Source organism: Homo sapiens, chromosome 17, assembly GCF_000001405.40.
Source record: "Homo sapiens chromosome 17, GRCh38.p14 Primary Assembly".
Classification (NCBI taxonomy): domain Eukaryota; kingdom Metazoa; phylum Chordata; class Mammalia; order Primates; family Hominidae; genus Homo; species Homo sapiens.
Window position 1 is genome coordinate 80,199,998 of NC_000017.11, and position 24,132 is coordinate 80,224,129.

At 58.1% G+C, this 24,132-nt stretch overlaps 3 protein-coding genes across 59 annotated transcripts in view, besides 7 other annotated features; 2 read left to right on the forward strand and 1 right to left on the reverse strand.

Moving 5' to 3' along the window:
* Nucleotides 1-9,334, forward strand: part of CARD14 (caspase recruitment domain family member 14) — a 39,302-nt gene extending 29,968 nt beyond the window's left edge. For 11 of the 17 annotated variants that reach the window (XM_047436713.1, XM_047436714.1, NM_001366385.1 and 8 more), the window contains 8 exons: nt 1,747-1,873; nt 2,183-2,423; nt 3,825-3,888; nt 4,230-4,344; nt 5,038-5,208; nt 5,534-5,655; nt 6,973-7,088; nt 8,141-9,334. In XM_047436713.1, coding sequence (XP_047292669.1) covers nt 1,747-1,873; nt 2,183-2,423; nt 3,825-3,888; nt 4,230-4,344; nt 5,038-5,208; nt 5,534-5,655; nt 6,973-7,088; nt 8,141-8,348 — 1,164 coding nt within the window. In that variant the 3' untranslated portion in view covers nt 8,349-9,334. Of the gene's footprint in view, nt 1-1,746; nt 1,874-2,182; nt 2,635-3,824; nt 3,889-4,229; nt 4,355-5,037; nt 5,209-5,533; nt 5,656-6,972 lie in introns of those variants that run through there. The other 6 variants (XM_047436721.1, NM_001257970.1, NR_047566.2 and 3 more) reach the window with 5 other exon arrangements.
* On the reverse strand, nt 676-20,336 carry SGSH (N-sulfoglucosamine sulfohydrolase). Of its 32 annotated transcripts, XR_007065413.1 has the most exons (14): nt 20,229-20,336; nt 17,035-17,195; nt 15,036-15,141; nt 14,618-14,768; nt 14,175-14,331; nt 13,807-13,888; nt 12,074-12,277; nt 7,600-7,688; nt 6,901-7,057; nt 5,528-5,883; nt 5,336-5,437; nt 3,781-4,599; nt 2,391-2,504; nt 676-1,848 (listed from the first exon to the last, which is right to left on the reverse strand). XR_007065413.1 is itself a non-coding variant. In NM_001352922.2 (9 exons), coding segments are annotated over exons 1-9 (1,005 nt in total). In that variant the 5' UTR covers nt 20,317-20,336; the 3' UTR covers nt 9,279-11,013. The 32 variants fall into 32 exon arrangements, 4 of the variants coding, with proteins under 4 accessions (NP_001339851.1, XP_011523428.1, NP_000190.1 ...); XR_001752590.2 differs by having other exon boundaries at nt 3,781-3,968; nt 5,336-5,883; XR_007065411.1 differs by lacking the exon at nt 2,391-2,504 and having other exon boundaries at nt 676-1,852; nt 3,781-3,968; nt 4,502-4,599; nt 5,336-5,883.
* Nucleotides 4,589-5,788: an enhancer, noted in NCBI's record as "MED14-independent group 3 enhancer chr17:78178385-78179584 (GRCh37/hg19 assembly coordinates)". NCBI's record gives its function as "activates an origin of replication core promoter dependent on BRD2, BRD4, P300/CBP and CDK7 cofactors, and independent of MED14, by STARR-seq in HCT116 cells {active_cell/tissue: HCT116}" and the evidence as "EXISTENCE:reporter gene assay evidence [ECO:0000049][PMID:35650434]".
* Nucleotides 10,095-10,250: a silencer, noted in NCBI's record as "fragment chr17:78183891-78184046 (GRCh37/hg19 assembly coordinates)". NCBI's record gives its function as "represses an EF-1alpha promoter that drives an FKBP-Casp9 reporter gene in an ReSE screen in phorbol 12-myristate 13-acetate-treated (for megakaryocytic differentiation) K562 erythroleukemia cells {active_cell/tissue: K562(+PMA)}" and the evidence as "EXISTENCE:reporter gene assay evidence [ECO:0000049][PMID:32094911]".
* Nucleotides 19,378-19,497: an enhancer, noted in NCBI's record as "active region_12929". NCBI's record gives its function as "activates an Ori minimal core promoter by ATAC-STARR-seq in GM12878 lymphoblastoid cells {active_cell/tissue: GM12878}" and the evidence as "EXISTENCE:reporter gene assay evidence [ECO:0000049][PMID:35858748]".
* Nucleotides 20,298-20,567: a silencer, noted in NCBI's record as "silent region_9102". NCBI's record gives its function as "represses an Ori minimal core promoter by ATAC-STARR-seq in GM12878 lymphoblastoid cells {active_cell/tissue: GM12878}" and the evidence as "EXISTENCE:reporter gene assay evidence [ECO:0000049][PMID:35858748]".
* The window catches only part of SLC26A11 (solute carrier family 26 member 11), a 33,074-nt gene continuing 29,371 nt past the window's right edge, over nt 20,430-24,132 (forward strand). The window contains exons 1-5 of one of the 10 annotated variants that reach the window (XM_006721833.3): nt 20,430-20,499; nt 20,919-21,118; nt 21,551-21,797; nt 22,658-22,850; nt 23,183-23,340. In XM_006721833.3, coding sequence (XP_006721896.1) covers nt 21,564-21,797; nt 22,658-22,850; nt 23,183-23,340 — 585 coding nt within the window. In that variant the 5' untranslated portion in view covers nt 20,430-20,499; nt 20,919-21,118; nt 21,551-21,563. Of the gene's footprint in view, nt 20,500-20,918; nt 21,798-22,654; nt 22,851-23,182; nt 23,341-24,132 lie in introns of those variants that run through there. The other 9 variants (NM_001166347.2, XM_017024507.2, NM_173626.4 and 6 more) reach the window with 9 other exon arrangements.
* Nucleotides 20,588-20,657: a silencer, noted in NCBI's record as "silent region_9103". NCBI's record gives its function as "represses an Ori minimal core promoter by ATAC-STARR-seq in GM12878 lymphoblastoid cells {active_cell/tissue: GM12878}" and the evidence as "EXISTENCE:reporter gene assay evidence [ECO:0000049][PMID:35858748]".
* Nucleotides 22,155-22,992: an enhancer, noted in NCBI's record as "H3K4me1 hESC enhancer chr17:78195951-78196788 (GRCh37/hg19 assembly coordinates)". NCBI's record gives its function as "activates a minimal SCP1, AML or CMV promoter by ChIP-STARR-seq in primed H9 embryonic stem cells {active_cell/tissue: H9 hESC(primed)}" and the evidence as "EXISTENCE:reporter gene assay evidence [ECO:0000049][PMID:30033119]".
* Nucleotides 22,993-23,830: an enhancer, noted in NCBI's record as "H3K4me1 hESC enhancer chr17:78196789-78197626 (GRCh37/hg19 assembly coordinates)". NCBI's record gives its function as "activates a minimal SCP1, AML or CMV promoter by ChIP-STARR-seq in primed H9 embryonic stem cells {active_cell/tissue: H9 hESC(primed)}" and the evidence as "EXISTENCE:reporter gene assay evidence [ECO:0000049][PMID:30033119]".

A 24,132-nucleotide genomic window follows, 5' to 3' on the forward strand; every position in this document is an offset into this window, starting at 1 on the left:
AGGAGGGGACTGGGGATGGGGGCTCTGGGGTGGGAAGGTGAGCACAGAGGCGGGGAGAGGATGCGTCTGAACCCCTCAGGCAGGAGTGTTCCATGCACCCCTCACTGCCCCCTTGGAACAGGCTGTCCAAATGCTGAGCTCCCCTAGGGCTCCAATGATAGCACATGGAGCACCTAATTCAAGCGTCCTTCACGTCCTCCACATGACCCGGGAAGCCTTTCTTTACATGTCATTTTTTTTTTTTTTTTTTTTTTTTTGAGACAGAGTCTTGCTCTGTCGCCCAGGCTGGAGTGCAGTGGCTCGATCTTGGCCCACTGCAACCTCCACCCCCTGGGTTCAAGCGATTCTCTTGCCTCAGCCTCCCATGTAGCTGGGATTACAGGTGCCCGCCACCACACCCGGCTAACTTTTGTATTTTTAGTAGAGACAGGGCTTCACCATGTTGGCCAGGCTGATCTCGAACTCCTGACCTCAAGTGATCCACCCACCTCAGCCTCCTAAAGTGCTGGGATTACAGGCATCAGCCACCATGCCCAGCCCTTCTTTACATTTCTAGTTGTCCTCTTAAGCAGCAGTCCCCAACCTTTTTGGCACCAGAGACCGGCTTCATGGAAGACAACTTTTCCACAGACCGGGTTGTGGGGGATGGTTTTGGGATGATTCAAGCACGTTACATTGATTGTACACTTTATTTCTATTATTATTACACTGTAATATGTAATGAAAGAATCATACACTGAACCATAATTCAGAATCAGTGGGAGCCCTGAGCTTGTTTTCCTGCAACTAGACGGTCCCATCTGGGGGTGATGGGAGACGGTAACAGATCATCAGGAATTAGATTCTCATAAGGAGCGTGAAACCTAGATCCCTCACTTGCACAGTTCACGATAGGGCTCATGCTCCTCTGAGAATCTACTGCTGTGCTGAGCTGACAGGAGGTGGAGCTGAGGCCGTAATGCTCACTTGCCCACCACGCCCCTCCTGCTGTGTGACCCGGGTCCTGATGGACCATGGACCAGTACCAGTATGTGGCCCAGGGGTTGGGGAACCCTGCTCTTAAGGTTCCCAATTATCAGCTCTGAGGTAGTTCAAGCAACAGAGCCCCTTGACGATGTTCAGGGAGATAGTCCCGATATCCTAAGGGGGCCAATTAGATTCTAATGGTGTTAAAACACATCTTAATTTTTATTGTAAAAATATCTACTCTCCTAAGCTTAGAACAATATTGAGAAGAAATGAAGTGGATGGTGGAAGCCCTGGGGGGTGGGCCTTCACAGTGGGGAAGGCTGTGGGTGGAGAGCCAGGGCATCGGGTAGGTGAAGGCCAGGGATGCCACTCAGCATCCTGTAGGGCCCGGTATAGCCCGCAGCAGCACAGAATGATCCCAAGGCTAAGAAACCTCTATCTAGAATGCTCTTGAATGTTCTAGAACCGAGGTTCTTTCTTTTCTTTTCTTTTCTTTTTCAAGACAGGAAAGTGCTTATCACAAAGAACCCCCGATCTCGACTGGGGAAGGGTTGGCAGTTGACTCTCTGGCCAGCACTATGTGTAGCACGCATCACTAGAGGTGTGAAGGCCCCACAGAGGCTCTGGTGTGTGGCTTTGTTTTGACCAAGGCGTGCAGGCAGTGGTCCTACGGCAGGGCTGGCCCGCGCCTCGCCTCAGTGCCCTCAGCGCCTTCTGTCTTCTGGCTGGATTCAGAGTCCCGGGGGAAAGAGACTGACCTTCTCGACTTGCCCTCAGGTTGATTACGAAGCCTCAGAGCCCTTGTTCAAGGCAGTCCTGGAGGACACGACCCTGGAGGAGGCCGTGGGGCTTCTCAGGAGGGTGGACGGCTTCTGCTGCCTGTCTGTGAAGGTCAACACGGACGGTACACATACCACTCCTCTCGTGTGCACAGCTGCCTGGCCAGACTCCATGACCCTTAAGTCCCTGGTGGTTCTTCTGCACGCCCAGCAGCCAGGGACCCCCAGAGCCAAGAGAGGATCAGCCAGGCTGTGCCCCAGGTCCCCAGGAGGCCCCCAAGCCAGCTGGAAACCTCCCACCCACTGACTCCAGTGCCAGAGCAGCTTCTGAGACTGGGAGGGTCCTTCCTTCTCTCCTACTTTAATTTTCTGCAACCTTCCTCGCAGAGGCTCGTATCTGTGGCTCATCTGTGGCTCATGTCCCCTTTTATCAGGTTATAAGAGGCTACTCCAGGACCTGGAGGCCAAAGTGGCGACCTCGGGGGACTCATTCTACATCCGGGTCAACCTGGCCATGGAGGGCAGGGCCAAAGGGGAGCTGCAGGTGCATTGCAACGAGGTCCTGCACGTCACCGACACCATGTTCCAGGGCTGCGGCTGCTGGCATGCCCACCGCGTGAACTCTTACACCATGAAGGATACTGCCGCGCACGGCACCATCCCCAACTACTCCAGGTGAGCAGCTGCCTCGAGCTCGGTGCGTCCCCAGAGAGGCCCACAGGGAAATGGCACCCAGCCTGCCTCGGCTTCCTCCTCCTGCCCAGCAATAGAGGGTGGGCGTGGTGAGACCCCCCTAAGGAGGGAAGCCTGCCAAGATCACTGCTGAAGATGTTGTTTCTTTGTGATGGATGCTTTATATATTGCAAATGAAATGTTCATTCTAGAACATTCTAGATCTGGGTTTCTTAGCTCTGGGTTTCTTAGCTTTGGTACCATGGACGTTTGGGGCTGGATCCCCGTCTGTGGTGGGGCCGTCCTGGGCACTGCAGGATATAGAGCAGCATCCCTGGCCGCCCTACCCAGGATGCCGGGACTACTCCCATGCCCCAGCTGTGACAACCAGAAATGTCTCTATAGGTTGCCAAGGGTCCCCTGGTTCTCCTAGGACTGTCTTGGTCTTAGCACTGAAAGCCCCACTTGCAGGGAAGCCCCTCGGTCCTGGGCAAGCAGGGACAGCTGGTCACCCTCCCTGGGGAGTGACATTGCCCCCTGCCTTGCTCCATTGAAAACCACTGCTCTAGGCCGAGCATGGTGGCTCACACCTGTAATCCAAACACTTTGGGAGGCCGAGGCGGGTGGATCATCTGAGGTCAGGAGTTCGAGACCAGCCTGGGTAACCTGGTGAAACCCTGTCTCTATTAAAAATACAAAAAACTTAGCTGGGCGTGGTGGCAGGTGCCTGTAATCCCAGCTACTCAGGAGGCTGAGGCAGGAGAATCACTTGAACCCCGGAGGCAGAGGTTGCAGTGAGCCGGGATTGAGCCATTGCACTCCAGCCTGGGCGACAGAGTGAGACTCTGTCTCAAAAAAAAAAAAAAAGAAAAGGAAACCATTGTTCTAGATCAGCCTATGGGAGGCTCCAAGTTTCAAGTGCACGGAACGCACAGTGCTAGAAAGCAGGAGTGTTGAGCTCAGCACCCCCATCACTCATTGCAAACTCAAGTCCCCTGGGGATCGGAGCCAGCAGGTCCAGGGAGAGGCCTGGCACTCTGCATTTCTAACAGCTCTCTCGGTGACTCCAGGCTGCAGGCCAGGGACCCACCATGAATATTGAGGTCCTGGAGTGGGGCCCTGTACGCTGGCTGCTCAACAGCACCCCCTGGGTCCCGCCCCAGGACAAGTAAATCAGCATCTCCAGGGGTGGGCCGAGGCCCTGGAGTCTTTTGAAAGCTCTGGAGACTGGCATGGCCGCCAGGATGGAGCGCTCCAGCCTGCAGCAAAGGGATGTGTGGAGCTCTAGGTGGAGGCCCTTCTCTCCCACCCGGCCATCTCCCCCACTCTCCCCTGCTCGGCTCTCCCCTGCCCTGCTCACCTGGCAGGAGGCAGCTGGGTCAGGGCCTCTGCTGGTCTCTGCAGGGCTCAGCAGCAGCTCATAGCCCTCATCCAGGACATGACTCAGCAGTGCACCGTGACCCGCAAGGTGAGGCTCCAGGGAGGGGCCTGGACCCCACTGGGGTGGGCTGGAAGAGGGGCTCGGTGCTGGCAGGGTGGCAGGAGGCACTGTGTGGAGAGTGGGCTGCTGATTGGAGGGTAACCCCACCTGTCTCTCCTCTGCACCCCTTCAAACCAGGGCAGGGTCTGCAGCCCCTGCCCAGCCTGCAGGCTCTTGCACAAGTGCAGACACACCTCAGGCTGTTCTCAGAGCATCTGCGCCTCTGCATCACTCCCAGGTCGCCCTAGTGCCAATCATCTCCCCTGAATTCCCATTCCTGTTGATGGCTTCAACAGCTCCTCCTCATCCTTTCTCTGTCCCTCCTTTAGCCATCTTCTGGGGGACCACAGAAGCTGGTCCGCATCGTCAGTATGGACAAAGCCAAGGCCAGCCCTCTGCGTTTGTCCTTTGACAGGGGCCAGTTGGACCCCAGCAGGATGGAGGGTGAGGCCTGGTGAGCTGGCACAGGGGCCACTGGCTCCAAGTGGGTGAGGGGCTTTGGGAGCTGCTGCTAGTTGGTCAGCTGGGGCAGGGGGATGCCACTCATTTAGGCCAGGATCTGGTCTTCAAGAATCATGGGGCTGGGTGTGGTGGCGCACACCTGTAATCCCAGATACTCGGGAGGCTGAGGCAGGAGAATCGCCTGAACCCGGGAGGCAGAGGTGGCAGTGAGCCGAGATGGTGCCATTGCACTCCAGCCTGGGCAATAAGAGCAAAACTCTGTCTCAGGAAAAAAAAAAAATTTCAGGAGAGGAGTACAGGACAGAGGGAGGGCTAGGACCCTGTGCCCTGGAGGATGGCTGAGGAGAAGGGTGCCACTCTCCCAGATCCTTTGGAAGGAAGAAAACCCTGGCTTCCGCCATCCTCCCTTGGGCCTATAGGAAACAGGATTAAGTTGCAGGCTGCAAAGCAGTCCCTGGAGAGCCACAGAGCTGTGTAACCCCCGTGCAAAGGAGCCGCTCAGCCAGGGGCTATGGAACTGGGAGTGAGTCCTGTGACCGCTGAGCCTGTGCCCCTGGAATTCTAGGTGCTGGGGCTGCTGCAGTGAGCAAAGCAGACCCAGTCCCTCCCGGGGCAGGGTAGGCTGGCTGGGGGCTGCCGCAGCCTCACCCACCCTCAGGATCCTCTCCTCCACAGGCTCCAGCACGTGCTTCTGGGCCGAGAGCTGCCTCACCCTGGTGCCCTATACCCTGGTGCGGCCCCATCGACCCGCCCGGCCCCGGCCTGTGCTCCTCGTGCCCAGGGCGGTTGGGAAGATCCTGAGCGAGAAACTGTGCCTCCTCCAAGGGTTTAAGAAGTGCCTGGCAGGTATGCTGTTGCCTGGGAATCCCTCTACCCCTTCCACCTTCCCTCCCTCCCTCCTCCCCTTCCTCCCTCCTTCCTCCCCTTCCTCCCTCCTCCTTCCCTCCCCCACCACGCACATTCCCACACTCACCTGCTGTGTCCAGATAGTTCAGGATGGAGGTGCAGGGCACAGAGCGGGGTGTGCAGGGTCAGGTTTGTAAAGTGGACATCCTAAGAAGAGCTTCTCCCAGTGCTGGCAGGGTTCACGGGGACAGGGGTGTTTACCATGGGACTCCCCCAGACCCCCACACAGCTGGTCTATGATGGCCCCGTCCAATGTCACCTGTAGAGTACTTGAGCCAGGAGGAGTATGAGGCCTGGAGCCAGAGAGGGGACATCATCCAGGAGGGAGAGGTGTCCGGGGGCCGCTGCTGGGTGACCCGCCATGCTGTGGAGTCCCTCATGGAAAAGGTGAGGTCAAGGGCGGGGTGGGCAGGGGAGCTGTCCTGGGAAGGGTTTCAGGAATGCAGAGGAGGGGGATGAGATAAAGGTACAGGGACCGACCTGAGACCTGGGTGACCTTGTCGCCGACCTCTGGGTCCCAACAGCCCAGCAGGAGCCCAAAACTCATCTCAGCCAGTTAGGATCCACGTGACTGTGGGTGAGGTCTCCCAACTCCTTGAATCTCAGTTTCCTCAGCTTGGGGGATGTTTAATAGATATTTGTTCGAGAATGAATAAATCCGAGCTAACAACACTCTCCACGTTTGAAGGCGCAAACGCGTGAAAAGCAGCTCCCCGTGAACCACAGCTTTGTGTCTGCACAGGCACGGGAAGCCGAGTCTGGCATCTGCGTGCCTCCTGTAGGGGCTGGCGGAGCTCCATGCCAAGTTCACCTCATCCCCAGAGCTCACAATTTCTAGATTTTCCCAGTGAAAAATCAAAGGGATGGAAACTCTTAATACTGCATAGCACACAGCCTCATTTAGAAAGTGGCAAACTCAGCTGGGCCTGGGGCTCACGCCTGTCATCCCAGCACTTTGGGAACCCGAGGTGGGAGGATCGCTTGAGCCCAGGAGTTCAAGACCAGCCTGAGCAACACAGTGAGACCCGTCTCTAAAAAAAATTAAAAAATAAAAAGAGAAGAAAGTAGCCGGGCACAGTGGCTCGCGCCTGTAATCCCCACACTTTGGGAGGCCTAGGCGGGAAGATTGCTTGAGCCCAGGAATTTGAGACCAGCCTGAGCAACACAGTGAGACACCCGTCTCTACAAAACATTTAAAAGCTAAAAAAATTAAAAGTGGGCCGGGTGCGGTGGCTCACGCCTCTAATCCCAGCACTTTGGGAGGCCGAGGCGGGCAGATCACCTGAGGTCAGGAGATCAAGACCATCCTGGCTAACACGGTGAAACCCTGTCTCTACTAAAAACAGAAAAAATTAGCCAGGCGTGGTGGTGGGCGCCTGTAGTCCCAGCTACTCGGGAGGCTGAGACAGGAGAATGGCATGAACCTGGGAGGCAGAGCTTGCAGTGAGCCGAGATCGCGCCACTGCACTCCAGCCTGGGCGACAGAGCGAGACTCCGTCTCAAAAAAATAAAAAATAAAAATAAAAAAAAGAGAGAAGAAAGTGGCAAGCTCTATTCCCTCATCTCCTCTACAAAATTCAGCTCTGCCCAGCTCCTGCCCTGCCCTCAGCCTGTCCGGAGGGCCCTTCTGACCTGGGCGTTGGCTCCCTTTGCTTCCTCTGAGGCCTGTGATCTTGACTCACTTCTTCTCTCCCTCCCACAAAGAACACCCATGCCCTCCTGGACGTCCAGCTGGACAGTGTCTGCACCCTGCACAGGATGGACATCTTCCCCATCGTCATCCACGTCTCTGTCAACGAGAAGATGGCAAAGAAGCTCAAGTAGGTGCACGCTGGGGGCTGGGCAGGGGCTTCGAAGCGGCTCCTGGGCTCCCCCAAAGCCCACGGCAGGTGCCTCTGGAGTGTGCTCTGCGGTTTGCAGGAAGCTGAGGCGCTGACAGGGCCGTTTCCGCACAACTTTGGGACAAGGGCCCCGCTGATTGCTCATGAGATTCCCCTGATTTTGGCCGGGCGTGGTGGCTCACGCCTGTAATCCCAGCACTTTGGGAGGCCAGGGTGGGCAGATTGCTTGAGGTCAGCAGTTCGAGACCAGCCTGGCCAACATGGAGAAACCCTGTCTCTATTAAAAATACAAAAACTAGCCAGGTGTGGCGGCGGGCGCCTGTAATCCCAGCTACTCGGGAGGCTGAGACATGATAATTACTTGAACTGGGAGGTGGAGTTGCGGTGAGCCAAGATCGCGCCACTGCACTCCAGCCTGGGTGACAGAGCGAGACTCTGTCTCAACAAAACAAAACAACAACAACAACAACTGCTCTGATTTCACGCTTACCAAACAAACTTGATTTCAAATCTGGCCTCTCCAGAATCTTGATACCAGGATGACGGTGCCTTTTACAGTGGGCAAAAGTAGCCTAGTCACTGGAAAATGACATTTTATAATTGAAATTTAAAGTTGTAAATTAACAAATTGGCACTCCCTCCCCCAAGAGCAGCTCAGAGGACCATTGTAAGGCCAGAACCCCACCCGGCCTCAGCTCCACTGACCCTCCACTTACTGGTGCTTGGCTAGCACAATCTAATCCTTGTCGGCTAAGGACAAAAAAAAAAAAAGTAAAAAAATTACTTGGTTTCCTGGGGACAGACCAAGATGTCCTGCTACTGTGCCCTTTCTACTCCAGGAAGCAAGGCTGTGTTCTAGACAACCTGCCTCCCACCACTGGGGCCTGGGGCCTATTTTCTTTACAAGGTCCCCTCAAAGCGAGGCCACCTGTGTTTAGGGGTGTTTGGGTGCATGTCATCACTACCCTAGCCAGGGCTCCTGGGCCCTTGCTCTCCCCTGAGCCCGCCCCCCCCAACTCTGGCCTGTGCAGGAAGGGCCTACAGCGGTTGGGCACCTCAGAGGAGCAGCTCCTGGAGGCTGCGAGGCAGGAGGAGGGAGACCTGGACCGGGCGCCCTGTCTATACAGCAGCCTGGCTCCTGACGGCTGGAGCGACCTGGACGGCCTGCTCAGCTGTGTCCGCCAGGCCATCGCCGACGAGCAGAAGAAGGTGGTGTGGACGGAGCAGAGCCCCCGATGATGCACCGTGCCCCTTCCCGGGACTGTGGGGGCTTCTGTGTGCCTGTTAATGCAGTCCTGTTCCTCAGCCCAGGCCCTCTTGGCACAGCTGTGGGCTCCTTGGCACATGAGGCCGGCTCTCCCCACTGGCTGGGGTCTAACCTTGAACCCTCACCACGTGCAGGTCACACACAGTGAAGCCACTTGTAACTGCACACTTTTCTGTGGAAACATCTTCACCCTTTACCAGGCTTGGCATGGTCTGAACTGGAAACCCTGAGAATGTTTCTGCAGTGGGACAGGAGGGACGTCTTCCCATGCCTTCCCTAGAACCGGAGGCCCCGGACTTCTCTGGAAAACCGCCTGTCTGCAGGCCCGATTCAAATCTATGGGGGCTGCACTTCCCTTTTACATTTTGATGTGTCAAAGGCTTTTGGAGTGACCAAAAGCACAGAGGCAGCGGGTGGGGCGCCTGGGTGGTCCCCAAGGTCGCTGCCACCCTTGCCCGGGGCAGAGGCAGAAGCCCACATATGCTGTGACGCTGGCCACCTTTTCTCAGCTTCTGAGGCTGCGATGCCTCAGGAACTCCAGTTTACAGAGACCAGTGTGTTTACTTGTAAATAAAGCCTCTGCGTGGTGGAGACGGTACTTTCAGTGGGTCTGTGCCCCGTGGCCCCTGTGCCTGTTCGGTGGGGGTGTCCCAGAGAAGCCTGGCACCAGTACCCCCGTACAAGGCCCAGCGGACTCTGCCTTCCCCTGACCTGGCTTTGCACCCCAGCCCTTCTTGGGCCAAACATCTTTACTCCACCTTCAGGGCTCGGGGAGGACCCAGGTCCGCCAGCACCTGGCCTTGCCCCTGCCTCCTGGGGCTGTTGCAGACTGAATGTCATTTTGACAGCAGTGTCCAAGAATCAGGAAGCTGTTCTAGAATTCAGGTTGGTATCATCATAAATGAGTTCAGAAAAAGAACTTCTGTATATTTTACTAAAATAAAAAGCTTTTACAATAGCTGGCCTGTGGCCTCCTCCAGCCCACCCCAGTATGGAGTGATAGGGAGGGAAGGGCAAGGGGAGCCCACCTACTCAAGGAAGCGCCCTCTCCTTCGAGGGGTGTCCAGGCCGAGGGGTGTCCAGGCCGGGCTTCTGCTCCCGAGGTGGGTGGAGGCAGGGCAGGAACGGCACATTCTCCCAGCAACGCCGACGTCATCCAAGAATTAACCCAAGCCAGAGGACGGGCATCGCCACCCAGCAACGCCAGTGTCACCGAAGAATTAACCCAAGGCAGAGGATGGGCATTGCCACCCAGCAACGCCAGTGTCACCGAAGAATTAACCCAAGCCAGAGGACGGGCATCACCACCCAGCAATGCCAGTGTCACCGAAGAATTAACCCAAGCCAGAGGACGGGCATCGCCATGCCTTCATCTTCGGACACTCTCAAAAAAGATAAGCTTCTGCCCAGAAACACCACAGGTTCAAGCTCATCACTCAGGGAGCCTGCTGCCAATCAGCTGAAACCTGCCTGGGGAACAGGGACTTGACCATGGGGCAAAACAGAAGAAGCAGAAACCTGCCCAAAGGTCGCTCAAAGGCTTCCTCTAGGCCAGACGCTGGTAAGAGCCAGGCGCCGTGCTCCCAGGTGAGTGTCGGTGGGACCTGCGTACTGCCCACGCGGCACCGAAGCCCCTGCCTGCTCTCTGTGAAGGGTTCAGAAGTATCTGTGGCTGCCAAAGCCTGAAGAGGGCCTCAGGCCTCCCATTTGCAGGTCCCCAAACCAAGCCAGAAAACAAGACTCCCTTGTCATGGGCTGGGGGCGCTGCCCTGTCCGCAGACCACGTATGTCTAGAATTCCCGTGCTGGGACATGGTTCAGACACAAGGACAACTGTGTCCCCTGCCATGACGGCAGTGCCCCTGGTGGTGGAGGGGCTGGGCACATGCTCTGGTCACATGCTCTGGTCCCCCTCCAGGCAATGGCAAGAGTGACCCCACAGGAAGGAAGAACCCTCCTTGGATGGGAGTGTGGACGGAAGGGCTGTTGCCACTACTCCCCAGGCTGGCCGGCCACACGGACACGTGTGGGATGTGTCTGGGACATGCCTGGGATGTGTGCACAGGCCTCCTGGGATGGTCACAGCTCATTGTGGAGGGGCTGGCACTGGGGAGAGAGCTTCTCCTCCAGGACGCCGTCGGGGGCGCACACCCAGGGGTCGTGGGTCTCCCACTGCCACTTGGCCAGCTGGTCCCGAAGCATCTCCAGAAGCTGAGCAAAGCGCGGGTCGGTGGCCAGGTTCTGGGTCTCGTGGGGGTCCCGGCTCCGGTCGTAGAGCTCCCAGCGCGCCCGGTAGTAGTAATGACGGAGGTCCTTGTACCAGCCCGTGGGCTGACCAGCTGTGGTGCGGTTCAGGAGGTCCTGGAAGGTGGGTGAGACGTAGAAGTCCTGGTCGATGGGAAAGGGCATCTTGAAGTTGAGGTTGTGCACGAGGCGGAAGTGCCGGTGCTGCACGGAGCGCATGGGGTAGGACATGGTGACCTCGTGGTGGCTCTGGCTGCCAAAGACGGTGGCCCAGAGGGGCTCGGCCTCCAGCGCCGGCAGGAGGGACCGGCCAGTGAGGTGGATGGTCTTCGAGCCAAAGATGGCGTAGCTGGGGTACGGGATCGAGAACCAATCCAAGATGGTGGGCGTGAGGTCTGGAAGGGACGCGGCATCTCAGAGCAGCAGAGCCCTCAGCACACAGGAGCTGCCCTCGGAAGGGCCGAACCTACGCCACTCTGGGCGGCTCCCTTCTCCAATCCAATCAGCAGCGGGAGGTGCCTTGTCGAGCCGACACCTCTCACCGCCACGTCATCTCTCTGGGCCTCAGTGCCTTGAATGGTATAACAAGAGGCCCTGATTCGGTGACATTTAGGATCCTTCTAAAATCCCATGGACTGGAAAAGAAGTCTCCTTTTTGGTAGCTCGTGTACTCCAGCCCCTGTGGTGGGTGTGGCCACAGTGCTCCTGGCTCATCATTTGGGGCCAGAGAGAGATGTGGGCCCCAAGAGAGATGTGGGCCGCGAGCTCGGAGGGAAAGGGAACCTGAGTTTCCTGCTGTCCCGGGCCCACCCCACCTGGAGGCTCTGCCAGGCAGTGGGCAGGACACACGAGCCTCTGCCCTGTGCCGAAGGGGTCACCCCGAGCCCCTCACAAAGTCTTCCTGCACCCGTGTCTTTGTCTGCACATCCATAACATGGGACTAGATGTCCTAGGTCTTTTTAGGAATGAGCAGGGTCATGAGGTGCTTTGGGTCCCCCAGGAAGGCAGGATGGGGTGCACGGATGCTCAGAGAGGGGTCCCCAGGCCCACAGTATCGGCATCACCTGGGAACTTGTCAGACATGCAAATTCTTGAGCCCGCCAAGATCTACTGAATCGGACACCCTGGGATTTGCAATTTGGATATTAACAAGCATCCCAGGTGATTCTGAAGCTCATCGGAGGTAGGCGGGGAAAAGGCAATGGTTTTGAAAGCAGCAGGATCCAGGCGAGAATCCTAGCTTAGTGCTTACCAGCTGTGCAATCCTGAGCAGCTTACTTCACCTCTCTGAGCCTCATTCTTTTCCTCTGTAGAGTGGGAGTGACAGTCCCTTCCTCACCCAGATGATATGAGAGCCACATTAGGTAATGGGTGTGGAGCAGCATCTGACAGGTCATGGCCCCGTCCCAGATCCACTCCCACACCTTTCCTGACGGAGACAGACAAAGGCATACCTAGGAGGCTCACGTAGGCCTCGCTGACTTGGCCCCAGCGTTTTGGGTGCTCCGGGGATGACACCAGTAAGGGTTCAGCAGTGCCCGGCCAGTACAGGTTGGTCCTGCCGCTGGGGAAGGGGATCCCGTTGTCGGACGTGAAGATCACCAGTGTGTCGTTCAGGACACCGGCGTCACGCAGCTCCTGGAGCACCAGTCCAACTCCTGTGGTGAGGGGCCGAGAAGCAGAGCTCAGCCGCAGACACGGAGGGAGGCAGCGGGTGGTGTGTGTAGACCCACCTGCTGCTGCATCCGGCCGCTGGGCTCCAGCGCTTTCCGGATTCGAAAGCACCCTGTAGTTCTTCCCAATGGCCCTGGCTCTTGCCCAGCTCTTGCCCAGCTCCGCCCAGCTCCCATTCCCTGAGCAGGCCTCGAATGGGCCTCCAGGGACTCCAGCCATCCCTTGGCACTTCTGTGTCACCCCCAGGCAGCTGCTCCCTGGTGCCCGCCGGCTTTTGAGTTCTCCGGAATCTCGTGTCTGTCCCATGGAGCAAATAGGGCAGGGGCCAGAGGACGAGGCTTCCTCTATACTCGCTCCTTCCCAGCTGGGGCCAGAGGACAAGGCTTCCTCTATACCCGCTCCTTCCCAGCTCACTAAGAATTAATGGCACCAATAGGGAAATGGCAAAGGTCCTGACCTCCTGTCGTCCCTGACCCCAAAAGACATGTGTGCTGGAATCTGTGAAGGGGTTCTTGTTTGGAAAGGGGAACTTCACGAATAAAGATCTTGGGACAAAATCATCCTGAAGTGCTCAGGTAGGCCCTAAACCCGACGGGGTCCTTATAAGAAGCGGAAACAGGCCGGGCGCGGTGCCTCACACCTGTAATCCCAGCACTTTGGGAGGCTGAGGTGGGCGGATCACGAGGTCAGGAGTTCAAGACCAGCCTGGCCAATGTGGTGAAACCCCGTCTCTACTAAAAATATAAAAATTAGCTGGGCATGGTGGCGTGCGGTGCGATTGCAGTCCTAGCTACTTTGGAGGCTGAGACAGAAAAATCGCTCGAACCTGGGAGGTGGTGGTTGTAGTGAGCCGAGATTGCGCCACTGCACTCCCGCGTGGGTGACAGAGCAAGACTCAGTCTCAAAAAAAAAAAAAAAGAAGAAGTGGAGACACAAAGAGGAGACACAGGAAAAAAGGCCATGTGAAGGCTTCAGCGGGGATGGGGGCGATTCTGCCGCCAGCCCAGGAACGCCCAGCACTGGCACAGCCCCCAGAAGTTGGAAGAGGAAAGGCAGGGTCTCCCCTAGGCCTTCAGGGGAGCATGGCCCTGCTGACACCTTGATTTCAAACTTCTGGCCTCCTGAACTGTGGGAGTACAAATTTTGGTTGCTGTAAGCCATCAACCACAAAAAACTCACAGACCTCAAGATCTCCATCTGCATATGCTAAGGAACTCCAAACCCCCAAATCTGACCCAGGTCCTGTGACTGGAAATATCTGAAGTCTTCACGCAACCTCTGGGGCACCCGAAGGCCCCAGCCCAGGAGCAGGTCCACATCAGGGCAGCCCCGGGGTTGGGTCCTGATGCCACCCACAGGCCCCTCCTCTCAATGTGGGCTCTGCCAGCTGCAGCACAGGGCCTGCCACACTGGGACCCTCACCCACATTATGCCGTGACCTAAGAGGGCGCTGGCCCAGGATGGGGGACCCCGGCCGTGGCACCCCCTCCAGTGCCCGGTTCTGCAAGCCCACCTTGGTCCATGCGGCCGACGGTGGTGTACTGAGCGGCCAGGTCGGCTCGGGCTGCCGGGGTGTTGGGGACGAAGTAAGGCACCTGGGGCAGGCGGTGGGGAGCCAGGCTTAGAACAGACAGACCGGGGGAGCGGTGTCCAGCCTTCTCCCCGGGGCCTCCTGCAAATGGGTTAGCCCAGAACAGCCTCACTCCGGACCACCCCGTCTCTCTACGGTTCTCTCTGTGGCCCCGAGGTTGGGAACCTGAATCCGATTTGGTCAGAGCCTCTTTCTTCATCATCTAGGGCCAGGGCTGCAAGCTCGTAGGAGGCCAGGGTCCCCGACCCAGGGCTGACGGGCGTCCTGAAACACAGGAGGGGCCGTCCTACCAGCACGTCCAGTGGGTCGTAGGCCTGGGGGGTCCAGTCTGGGATACGACCCATGCCGCTCTCTCCGTTGCCAAACTTCTCACAGAAGGTTCCGTACTGGGGCTGGGAGTGCCCACAGCGGTGGGGGTCGTGGAAGGCGACGTAGAGGAAGAAAGGCCTGCACGGGAGGAGGCTCATTGCCAAGGCTGCGGGGCCACTGCCACGTGGCACAGGAAGCCCCTCGGCTCTGCCTCCTCCTCTGTATCTGGAAGTCAACCTGTGACCCTCACTGCCTCAGTTTCCCCACGTCCCTTCTCCCTCTGACCAGGCTAACTCGAGTACCTGGAACCTTCTCCCCTGCCCCCATTCGAGCCACGTGGGGGCCCATGCATCCCGCCGGAAGACTCCGGGCTGTGCTCTGGTACCGGCCGCCAGGGGGAAGGGGCAGGGGCCCCGACTCATACCGGTCATCCTGAGTCTGCAGGAATTTCCGGACGAGCAGCTTAATTCTAGTGATGTTCCGCCCCACCTGGAGGACGGAGCCATTCTCCTCCGTGTACGCAAAGTCAAACGGGTACACGGTCTCCGGCCCCACGTGCTTCTTCCCGATGATGCCTGGGCGGGAAGAGAGGCCTGGCCAGAGTCCCTTCAGCCTCCCAACCCTTTCTGCTCCCTTCTCTGCCCCTCTCGGCCCTAAGCGCACTGTGGGTTCTCGTGGACACACAGCCCAGCCAGGAGACCCAGGCCCAGATCCTTTGGGACAAGAGCTAAGGGCAGGCCACGGGGGCTGAGCGTGCCTTGGTACAAGGTGCCGAACCTCCTGGGCTCTGGCCTGGCCTCTGTGCCTCACCCCACGCCCTGTCCTCGGCACGGGGTCCTCACCTGTGCGCACACCAGCTTGGCTGAGCAGCAGCGGCAGGCTCCGCACCTTGTCGAAGGAGTTGAAGTGGTGCACGTCCTGGTGCAGCCCGTACATCCCATTCTGATGCTGCCAGCAAAGGCGCATGAGGTCCGGGGCCCCCGGACAGCCAGAGCCCGCCTGCCGCACCTGTTCTCCCACGGCCCTCCCATCCCCAGGGGCCTTCTCGGGGCCCTGATTTAGACTTCGAGTGGCCAGCACCCAGAGACACTGGCTGTACCTCCCACTCCCTGCCCGATAGGCCCATGGGTCCCTCCCGTGAAAGGAGGACTTCGCCAGAAAGAAGGGGACCTGCAGGGCGTGCACCGACACGAGGGTGGCCTTGATGTTCTTTTTGCGTATCCGTACTTTTGAACTCTTCTGTTATGATCACACGTTACAGAGTGAAAAAGACAGGGTCAGGCCTTGTTTTATTACCTAGTTATTTTATATTGTAAAAGATGTGTACATTTTAAAAACTCAGACTGCCGGCCGGGCGTGGTGGCTCACGCCTGTAATCCCGGCACTTTGGGAGGCCAACGCAGGTGGATCACGAGGTCAGGAGATGGAGACCAGCCTGGCCAACATGGTGAAACCTCGTCTCTACTAAAAATACAAAAATTAGCTGGGCGTGGTGGCGGGCGCCTGTAGTCCCAGCTACTCGGGAGGCCGAGGTAGGAGAATGGCTTGAATCTGGGAGGTGGAGGTTGCAGTGAGCCGAGATCACACCACTGCACTCCAGCCTGGGCAACAGAGTGAGACTAAAAGAACAAGTGTCCTTAAACACCCATGTTCATAGCAGCTTTATTCACAACAGCCAAAGGGTAGCAGCAACCCAAGTGCCCACTGACGGATGAATATGGAGAAGCAAAATACGGGGCCCATCCATCCACTGGAATATGAGTCAGCCCTGAAGAGGAGGGAAGTTCTGACTCGTGCTACAGCATATGGTTAACCCTGAGGACATTGTGCTGAGTGAAGTAAGGACACAAAAGGGGGGCCGGGCTCGGTGGCTCACGCCTGTAATCCCAGCACTTTGGGAGGTCGAGGCGGGCAGATCACTTGAGGCCAGGAGTTCGAAACCAGCCTGACCAACATGATGAAACCCCATCTCTACTAAAAATACAAAAATTAGACAGGCGTGGTGGCGCGCACCTGTAATCCCAGCTACTCGGGAGGCTGAGGCAGGAGACTCGCTGGAACCGGGGAGGCAGAGGCTGCAGTGAGCCACGATCGCACCACAGCACTCCAGCCTGGGTGACAGAGTGAGACTCCAACTCAAAAAAAAAAAGGACTAGTCCTGTGTGATTCCACTCTTATGTGGCCCCTGGAGCAGTCAGATTCATAGAGACAGGGGATGGGGAGGGAGAATGTGGAGCTGGTGTTTCATGGGACAGAGCTTCTGTTTGGGTAGATGGAAAAGTTCTGGAGATGGATGGTGGTGATGGCTGCATAACACTGTGAATGCACTTAATGCCCCGGAACTGTGCGCTGAAAAATGGCTAAGATGGGAATGTTGATGTTTGTGCATTTTACCACAGTAAAATAGGAGCATGTGTGCCTTAACGGTGTCCGCTCCCTGCACCATGGCGTTCCTGGGACACTGTGGCCATGGCGGTTCACGCTGAGTGAGCCCACCAGGCCTCGCACTAAGTGTTTACATACAAAGCATTAGCCCCGCCAATCTCCATAACTAGAGTGGCATCTCATTACACCCACCATCTTACAGATGAGGAAACTGAGGCACAAGGAGGTAGGTGACTTGCTCAAGGCCACACACAGCAGTGCAGCCAGGGCTGGCGGGTGAGTCGGAGCCCCTAGTCTGCACTCACAGCCATAGGCTGTGCCTCCTCCTGGAGGTGGGAGGGAAAGTGGGCAACACCCCCCGGGATCCCAGGGATGGGAGACGTGGCAGAGGCCTGGGCCCCGGACGCAGCCTGTCTACTCCCTGCCCACCCCCTCCTCCCGCCCCTTGCACCTCACCTGGGGCAGGCCAGTGAGGAGGCTGGCGCGGCTGGGAGAGCAGCTGCTGACCGAGGTGAAGGCATTGCGAAAGAGGAGGCTGCGGCGGGCCAAGGCGTCCAGGTGCGGGGTGGCGATGGCGCTGTTGTTGTACGCGCCACTCTCAAAGCCTCCGTCATCCGCTGCGTGAGGTGGGAGACAGAGAGTGCACGGTCGGCTGCGGTCACGAGAAACAGCACTGGGAGTGAGGGAGGCTGGGACTGTGATGCCAGAAGGCGAGACACCCAGGTGGGCATGGTACTGGCTCAGTGTGAACACTCAGCGCGAAATGCTATCGTGACAGAGCACTCCATTACCTAGGAGGCATGACACCCGAGTGGGTACATCAGGCAAGCATGGTATCAGAGGGCATGTTAGCAGGTCTCATACTTGGTGGGTATGTTAGCAGGCAGGCATGTATCCAGAAGACCCCATACCCACTGGGTATGTTAGCAAGAAGGCATGGTACCTAGTAGGCACAATACCTGGTGGGTATATCAGCAAGCAGGCAGGGTGCCCAGGCAGGCCTGATACCCAGTGGGTATGTTGGCAGGTGAGCATGGTATGGAGGCTGGACTGATTGATAGATGGTGGGTATGTTGGCAGGTGAGCATGGTATGGAGGCTGGACTGATAGATGGTGGGTATAAGCAGGTAGGCATGGTACCCAGGCAGGCCTGATACCAGTGGGTATGTTAGCAGGTAGACTGGTATCCAGCAGGGATGATGCGTGGTTGGTATGTTAGCAGGCAGGCATGGTATCCAAGTGGGCATGATAAGCAGGCATCATACCACAATAAGCTTGATGATACCCTAAGCAGGCATGATACCCGGTGGGTATGTTGGCAGGTGGGCATGGTACACAGGCTGGACTGATAGCTGGTGGGTATAAGCAGATGGGCATGGTACCCAGGCAAGCCTGGTACCTGCATAGGCATGTTAGCAGGCAGGCATGGTACCCAAGTGGGCAAGATACTCATGCAGGCATGATGACCCAACAAGCTTGATGATACCCCAGCAGGCATGCTACCTGGGTGGGCGTGTTAGCCGGCTAGGCATTTAGGCAGACAGCGGCTGAGCGCATGGCCACAGAACTGCTGGGCAATTCTGGGCTCAGCGGAAACCGCATGGGGCAGAGGGCAGGAGAGCCTCGCCCAGGGCGCGTCTAAAGCTCTATGTGTGTGCGTCCCACCGCTGCTTCTCACTGATGCCATCTCAAAGGCCTAGTGACCTTGCAGGTTGTCTATTTCAACCCTTTCATCCTACACAAAGCAGCTGAGGCCCAGAAAGGTGAGGTGCAGTGCCCAGGGCCACACACTGGGCAGCAGGAAACAGGGACAGGCCGCTGAACTCCTACAACCACACCAAGCTTCTTCCCCCTGCTCTGGAGTAGAGGACACTGGGGGCACCACAGGAGAGGCTGGTGGGAACCCCCAGACCAACACTTTCCCCAGCTCCCTCAGAGGCAATGTGGTCCATGGATGGACAGAGGAGGCTGGGCACCTTCCAGTTGGGCTTCCATCCTCCACCCCACAGTACCCACAGGTGTGAGCACATGGCAGCCACGTAAACCTGGAGGGAGAGCGGGATGGGCTGTGCTCCGTACCCGCAGGCCAGGAAGAAAGCTGCCCTTCTCCAAACCCAGAGTGTCTCGGCACTTGGCTGTGGGCCTGCTATGGTCTGAACTGTGTCCTCCCAGAATTCATATGCTGAAGCCCTAACGTCAACATCACTGTATCTGGAGACAGGGTCCTTAATTAAGGGTAAATGAATCATAAGGATGAGATCCTGATCTGACAGGACTGTGGACTTAAAGGAAAAGAAAGAGAGGGCCGGGTGCAGTGTTTCATGCCCGTAAGCCCAGCACCCGGGAGGCCAAGGCAGGAAGATTGCTTGAGCCCAGGAGTTCGAGACCAGTCTGGGCAACACAGTGAGACCTTGTCTCTACAAAAAATACAAAAATTAGCCAGGCATGGTGATGTGCACTTGAGGTCCCAGCTACTTGGGAGGCTGAGGCAGGAGGATCGCTTGAGCCTGGGAGATTGAGGCTGCAGTGAGCTGTGATTGTGCTACTGTGCTCCAGCCTGGGTGACAGAGTGAGACCCTGTCTCACAAAAAAAAAAAAAAAAAAAAAAAAAGGAAAGAAAGGAAAAAGAAAGGAAAAGGAAGTGAGACCACCCCCATCCGCTTGTCATGTGAGGAAACAGTGAGAGGGTGACCACCTGTAAGCCGAAAGTGGACCCTCACTGGAACCCAACCAAGCTGGCACCCTGACCTTGGATTTTCAGCCCACAGAACTGTGAGAAATACATTTCTGTTTAAGCCGATCCATGGCAGTCCGTGCTAAGAAAGGCCCTAGCCCAGGGGCCGCATAGCCTGGACTCTGACAGCCTCCTGTAGGAATTCTGATCCGCAGGTGAGGGTCCATGCAGATTCTCTGCTGTGTTTCTGGGAGGCGAGGAGTTGGCAGGAGAGCTGTTTATGTTACAGTGAGCCGAACCCCCGCCCAGAGACCACAAAATTAATCAGAAAGAGGGCAACTGGCAGGGCGCCAGACCTCAGAAGGGGAAAGAATCGCAGGCCTTGGGTTTGGCCTTGTCACTTGTCATGAGCCAGAGCCTTGATTACCTAAACCGGAAGTCTTGTGAGCAGCACGGTGCTTGCTCTGGAGGAACCTGGGGTTTCTGAGAGGGACTGGGGTTGGGGGAGACGGTGGTGGGTGGGTGGTGGAGGGCTGTGCCCTTGGGATAAGGGAAAAGACAGCTGAGACACAGGCTCTGGGGTCGGAAATGAGAGCCAGGAGGGCACCCTGTCTGCAGTCTCTGGGGACCGGAGCACCAGCCCCTCCTCTGGGATCCCCTCCCAAGAGGGATTTGAGATCCGTGGACCCCTGAGCCCTGGCTGGGCAGGGTCAGAGGAGGGTGGGACAGGCGGCACGAGGTAAGTGTAGGGGTGCTGGATGCTGGGGCTCACTCCTCCAGCCTTTGCTGCCCTCTCTGGGGAGACACCCGTGAAGAGTCTGGGGGCGGCACAGAGAGGAGGACGAGAGGGAATGGCAGCGGGGGATACAAGGGCAGGGCACACTAGGGTCAGCATTGACCACGGGTGGGGAGGAGGCCAGTGGCCACTTCCCCGGGCCACCGCAGGTGGGCGTGGGGGGGCGGCGCCGGCACTCACCGAGGAGCAGCAGTGCGTTCCGGGGACGCGCCCGGCAGAGCCCCAGGACTAGCAGCAGCGCGCAGCAGGCGGGCACGGGGCAGCTCATGGCGGCGGCGGCTCGGACTCGGGATCGGGATCCGGCTCCGGCTCTCTGGTCTCCCGCTCGGCCCCGCCCCCTGCCCCGACCCCGGTCACGTGCGCGCCAGACCCCGCCCCGGCCTGTCCCCGGCGATTCCTGCGGACCCAGCTGCGGCGACGCCAGGAGACCCCAAGCTGCATCGCCGAGTGGGTGAGTCCGTGGCCCGCGAGGGCGGCGAGCGGGGACCAGGGGCAGGGGGAGCGGACAGTGGCCGGGGTCGCCGGGGGCAGCCGACGCGGGGGCCAGCGCGGAGTCCTGAAGTGCGGGGGCCTCCCGTGGGGACCACTCCCCCGCCGCGTCCCTACCCGGGTCCCCGCGGCCCTCGGCCTTGCTCGGGGCCAAGGGACCGCGGACGGTCAGGTGGCGCAGGGTCTCCTCCGGAGACCCCAGGATCCGGAGCCAGCGGCCTTGTGGGCGGGGCCGGGGGCCGGGGAGTGGATTTTGCCCGGAGCGGAGCGGCCGGGGGCGTGGGGGGCTGGGGGTGAGGGTGGCGGCTCTGCGCGCGGGCGCCGGGGCCCTGGAAGATGCTGCGCACCTGAATTAACCGGGCGCCTCTGATGTCCTCCCAGAAGCAACTAGAACTCCAGGGCTGTGAAAGCCACAGGTGGGGGCTGAGCGAGGCGTGGCCTCAGGAGCGGAGGACCCCCCCACTCTCCCTCGAGCGCCGCAGTCCACCGTAGCGGGTGGAGCCCGCCTTGGTGCGCAGTTGGAAAACCTCGGAGCCCCGCTGGATCTCCTGGCTGCCACCCGCACCCCCCGCCAGCCTACGGTGCGCCCGCGGGCCCAGCTTCTCTCTGCGCTGCTCCCCGTTAAATTCCCTGGGGAGACGGAAAAAAAGGCAAAGGAAGTCGGTTCTCCAGGGGCCAGAAGTGTTGAGCCTAATTAGTCTTCAGACTTCTCAATGAGGAATCGCTTATCAGTTTCTTATCTGGGAGAGTTGAGGATGGAGGGACAGAAGGCACCCAGGATTTGCACGGGGGGGATTCAGGGAGAGAGGGTGATGAGGGACGGGGTGGGCCTTCCAGTCTTGGCCCAGTCCCCATCTTGCACACATTGTTGGCTTCCTCTTAGAGCCGTTCGCCCCCCTGGGGAGGGGAGACCCATAGTGACCTCTCCTGACACCCGCCGACCCTGACCAGTGTTGCCGGGTTCTTCAAAGGCCACGCTCTGACTGCTGGTCTGTGTCACCTGCACCCCCCAGCCCCACCGTAGAGATGCCTTCTTCGGTGACGGCGCTGGGTCAGGCCAGGTCCTCTGGCCCCGGGATGGCCCCGAGCGCCTGCTGCTGCTCCCCTGCGGCCCTGCAGAGGAGGCTGCCCATCCTGGCGTGGCTGCCCAGCTACTCCCTGCAGTGGCTGAAGATGGATTTCGTCGCCGGCCTCTCAGTTGGCCTCACTGCCATTCCCCAGGCGCTGGCCTATGCTGAAGTGGCTGGACTCCCGCCCCAGGTGAGGCGTCTGACCCTGCTGCCAGCCATATCTCAGAAACAGTGCAGAATACACAGTATCAATCCCAGACACCATCAGCGATTCCAGGTTTCCAGCCCCTGGGCCCCAAGGAACCTTTGGTTTACAGTGTGTGACGCAGATTGTCTCTGGGCCGACCCAGGCTCCTATGCCTGTTTGGCACACACAGACACTGAGCTGGTTATGGAGGGGCCAGCGAGATGACTCATGGAGGCCTCAGGAGTTCAAGACCAGCCCGACCAAAATGGTGAAACCCCGTCTCCACTAAAAATACAAAAATTAGGCTGGGTGCGGTGGCTCAAGCCTGTAATCCCAGCACTTTGGGAGGCCGAGGCAGGCGGATCGCAAGGTCAGGAGATGGAGACCATCCTGGCTAACAGGGTGAAACCCCGTCTCTACTAAAAATACAAAAAATTAGCCAGGTGTGGTGGCGGGTGCCTGTAGTCCCAGCTACCTGGGAGGCTGAGGCAGGAGAATGGCGTGAACCCGGGAGGCGGAGCTTGCAGTGAGCCGAGACTGTGCCACTGCCCTCCAGCCTGGGCGACAGAGCGAGACTCCATCTCAAAAAAAAAAAAAAAGAATGCTTCCTCAGACTTGGACACAGCACACGGGCCTGCACCGACCCCTCTGCCTGGCTGTCTGCACCCTGAGGCCCCAGTTGAGTGCTGCTAAAAAAGTGGCCTCCTGATCACTGCAGGTCCACCCACAGGGCAGGGCGGTGCACCTTTAACCTGGGCCTGGACACAGCTGACACCCACACATCCCGAGCTTGGACACGCACACTAGGGAGCTGGTGGATGGGCCTCGGCCTCCTGAGTGCTCACCACCCTCTCTCCCCACAGTATGGCCTCTACTCTGCCTTCATGGGCTGCTTCGTGTATTTCTTCCTGGGCACCTCCCGGGATGTGACTCTGGGCCCCACCGCCATTATGTCCCTCCTGGTCTCCTTCTACACCTTCCATGAGCCCGCCTACGCTGTGCTGCTGGCCTTCCTGTCCGGCTGCATCCAGCTGGCCATGGGGGTCCTGCGTTTGGGTGAGGCTCTACCTTCTTGCCAAGGGGATGCCCTCGACCTCAGCATTTGCTTGTTTGCATTTCAAGTCTATCCCCGTGTGCGTGTGTGTGCGTGTTGGGGTGTGGGTATGTATGTGTGTGTGTGTAGGTGGGTGGGTGGTGGAGGGGGTGGGGCACTTGGCTCTTAGTCTACTCTTTTCTGCTTAGAGGCCAGGACACTTGGAGAAGTGCCTGTGGCCTCAGACCCCAGTCTCCCTTTTCTGCTCTCCAAAAACAGCCAAACAGGGTGTGTTACCCCCAGTCCTTAGCTGCGGTATCTGCTCCCCAATCCCACCCATTGCCACCTTCCCCAGCTCACATCTCCCCTCATCCTCTGGGACTGGGTGGAGCCGGGACCAGCTCGATGTCCCCTCTTGGCTGGCCAGGGTTCCTGCTGGACTTCATTTCCTACCCCGTCATTAAAGGCTTCACCTCTGCTGCTGCCGTCACCATCGGCTTTGGACAGATCAAGGTAGGCACGGCGCCCACCCAGGGCACTGCTCTTTGGCCACTGCTCGTTGGCACAGGGATGGCGGGAGCAGGACTGAGGCCAGTCCTGATCCCTGTGGCCAGTGGACGTCTTGCTGTTTCAGATTGTCTTCCATGGGTCAAGAAGCACGCGGTGCTCTCATGGGTCCCCTGTTAATAAAATGACCCTCCTGGGAGGGATGTCACGTGATGGTTGGATTTCACAGCGGGTAACTTGGGGGCCGGTAATTCCATCCCCCTGCTCTTGCCCGAGTTTCCGTGCCAGTGTGCTTGGCTGGCTCTGTGACGTGGCTCTGTTCTCCCTGCACTGGGCACACCCAGCAGGCCCCACCAGTCATGAGCATGCTGCTAGAATTTCTATAGGCAAATTATTTCCCCATGCCAATTTAGTTAGATGGTTTTGTTTTGTGCTTTTTTTTCTGGTTTCTGTTTAATATTTTTTAAATGCCATGCCTTTTATATTTTCTTTTAAAACATTTATAATAAGTACTAAAATCAGTCATCAGCTGAGGGTGTAATTTATTCTGTTTTTGCTGGGTTGTAAGTTCCTCGAGGGTAGGAACTGTCCTTCTCCCAGCCATGGCCGCCCAGCATTGGGCTGGTGCAGTAGGGGGGTGCTCAGTGGGGTGTGTGTGGAGTGAAGTGAGCCCAATTCCACAGATGGGACCATGCGGCCCTCATGGCAGACTAGGGTCACATGCTGCCTCCTGACCCTGTGTCACTGCAGGTCATCTTCCCCAAGCCAGGCCCTGTTCCAGGCTGGCCTGAGACAGTC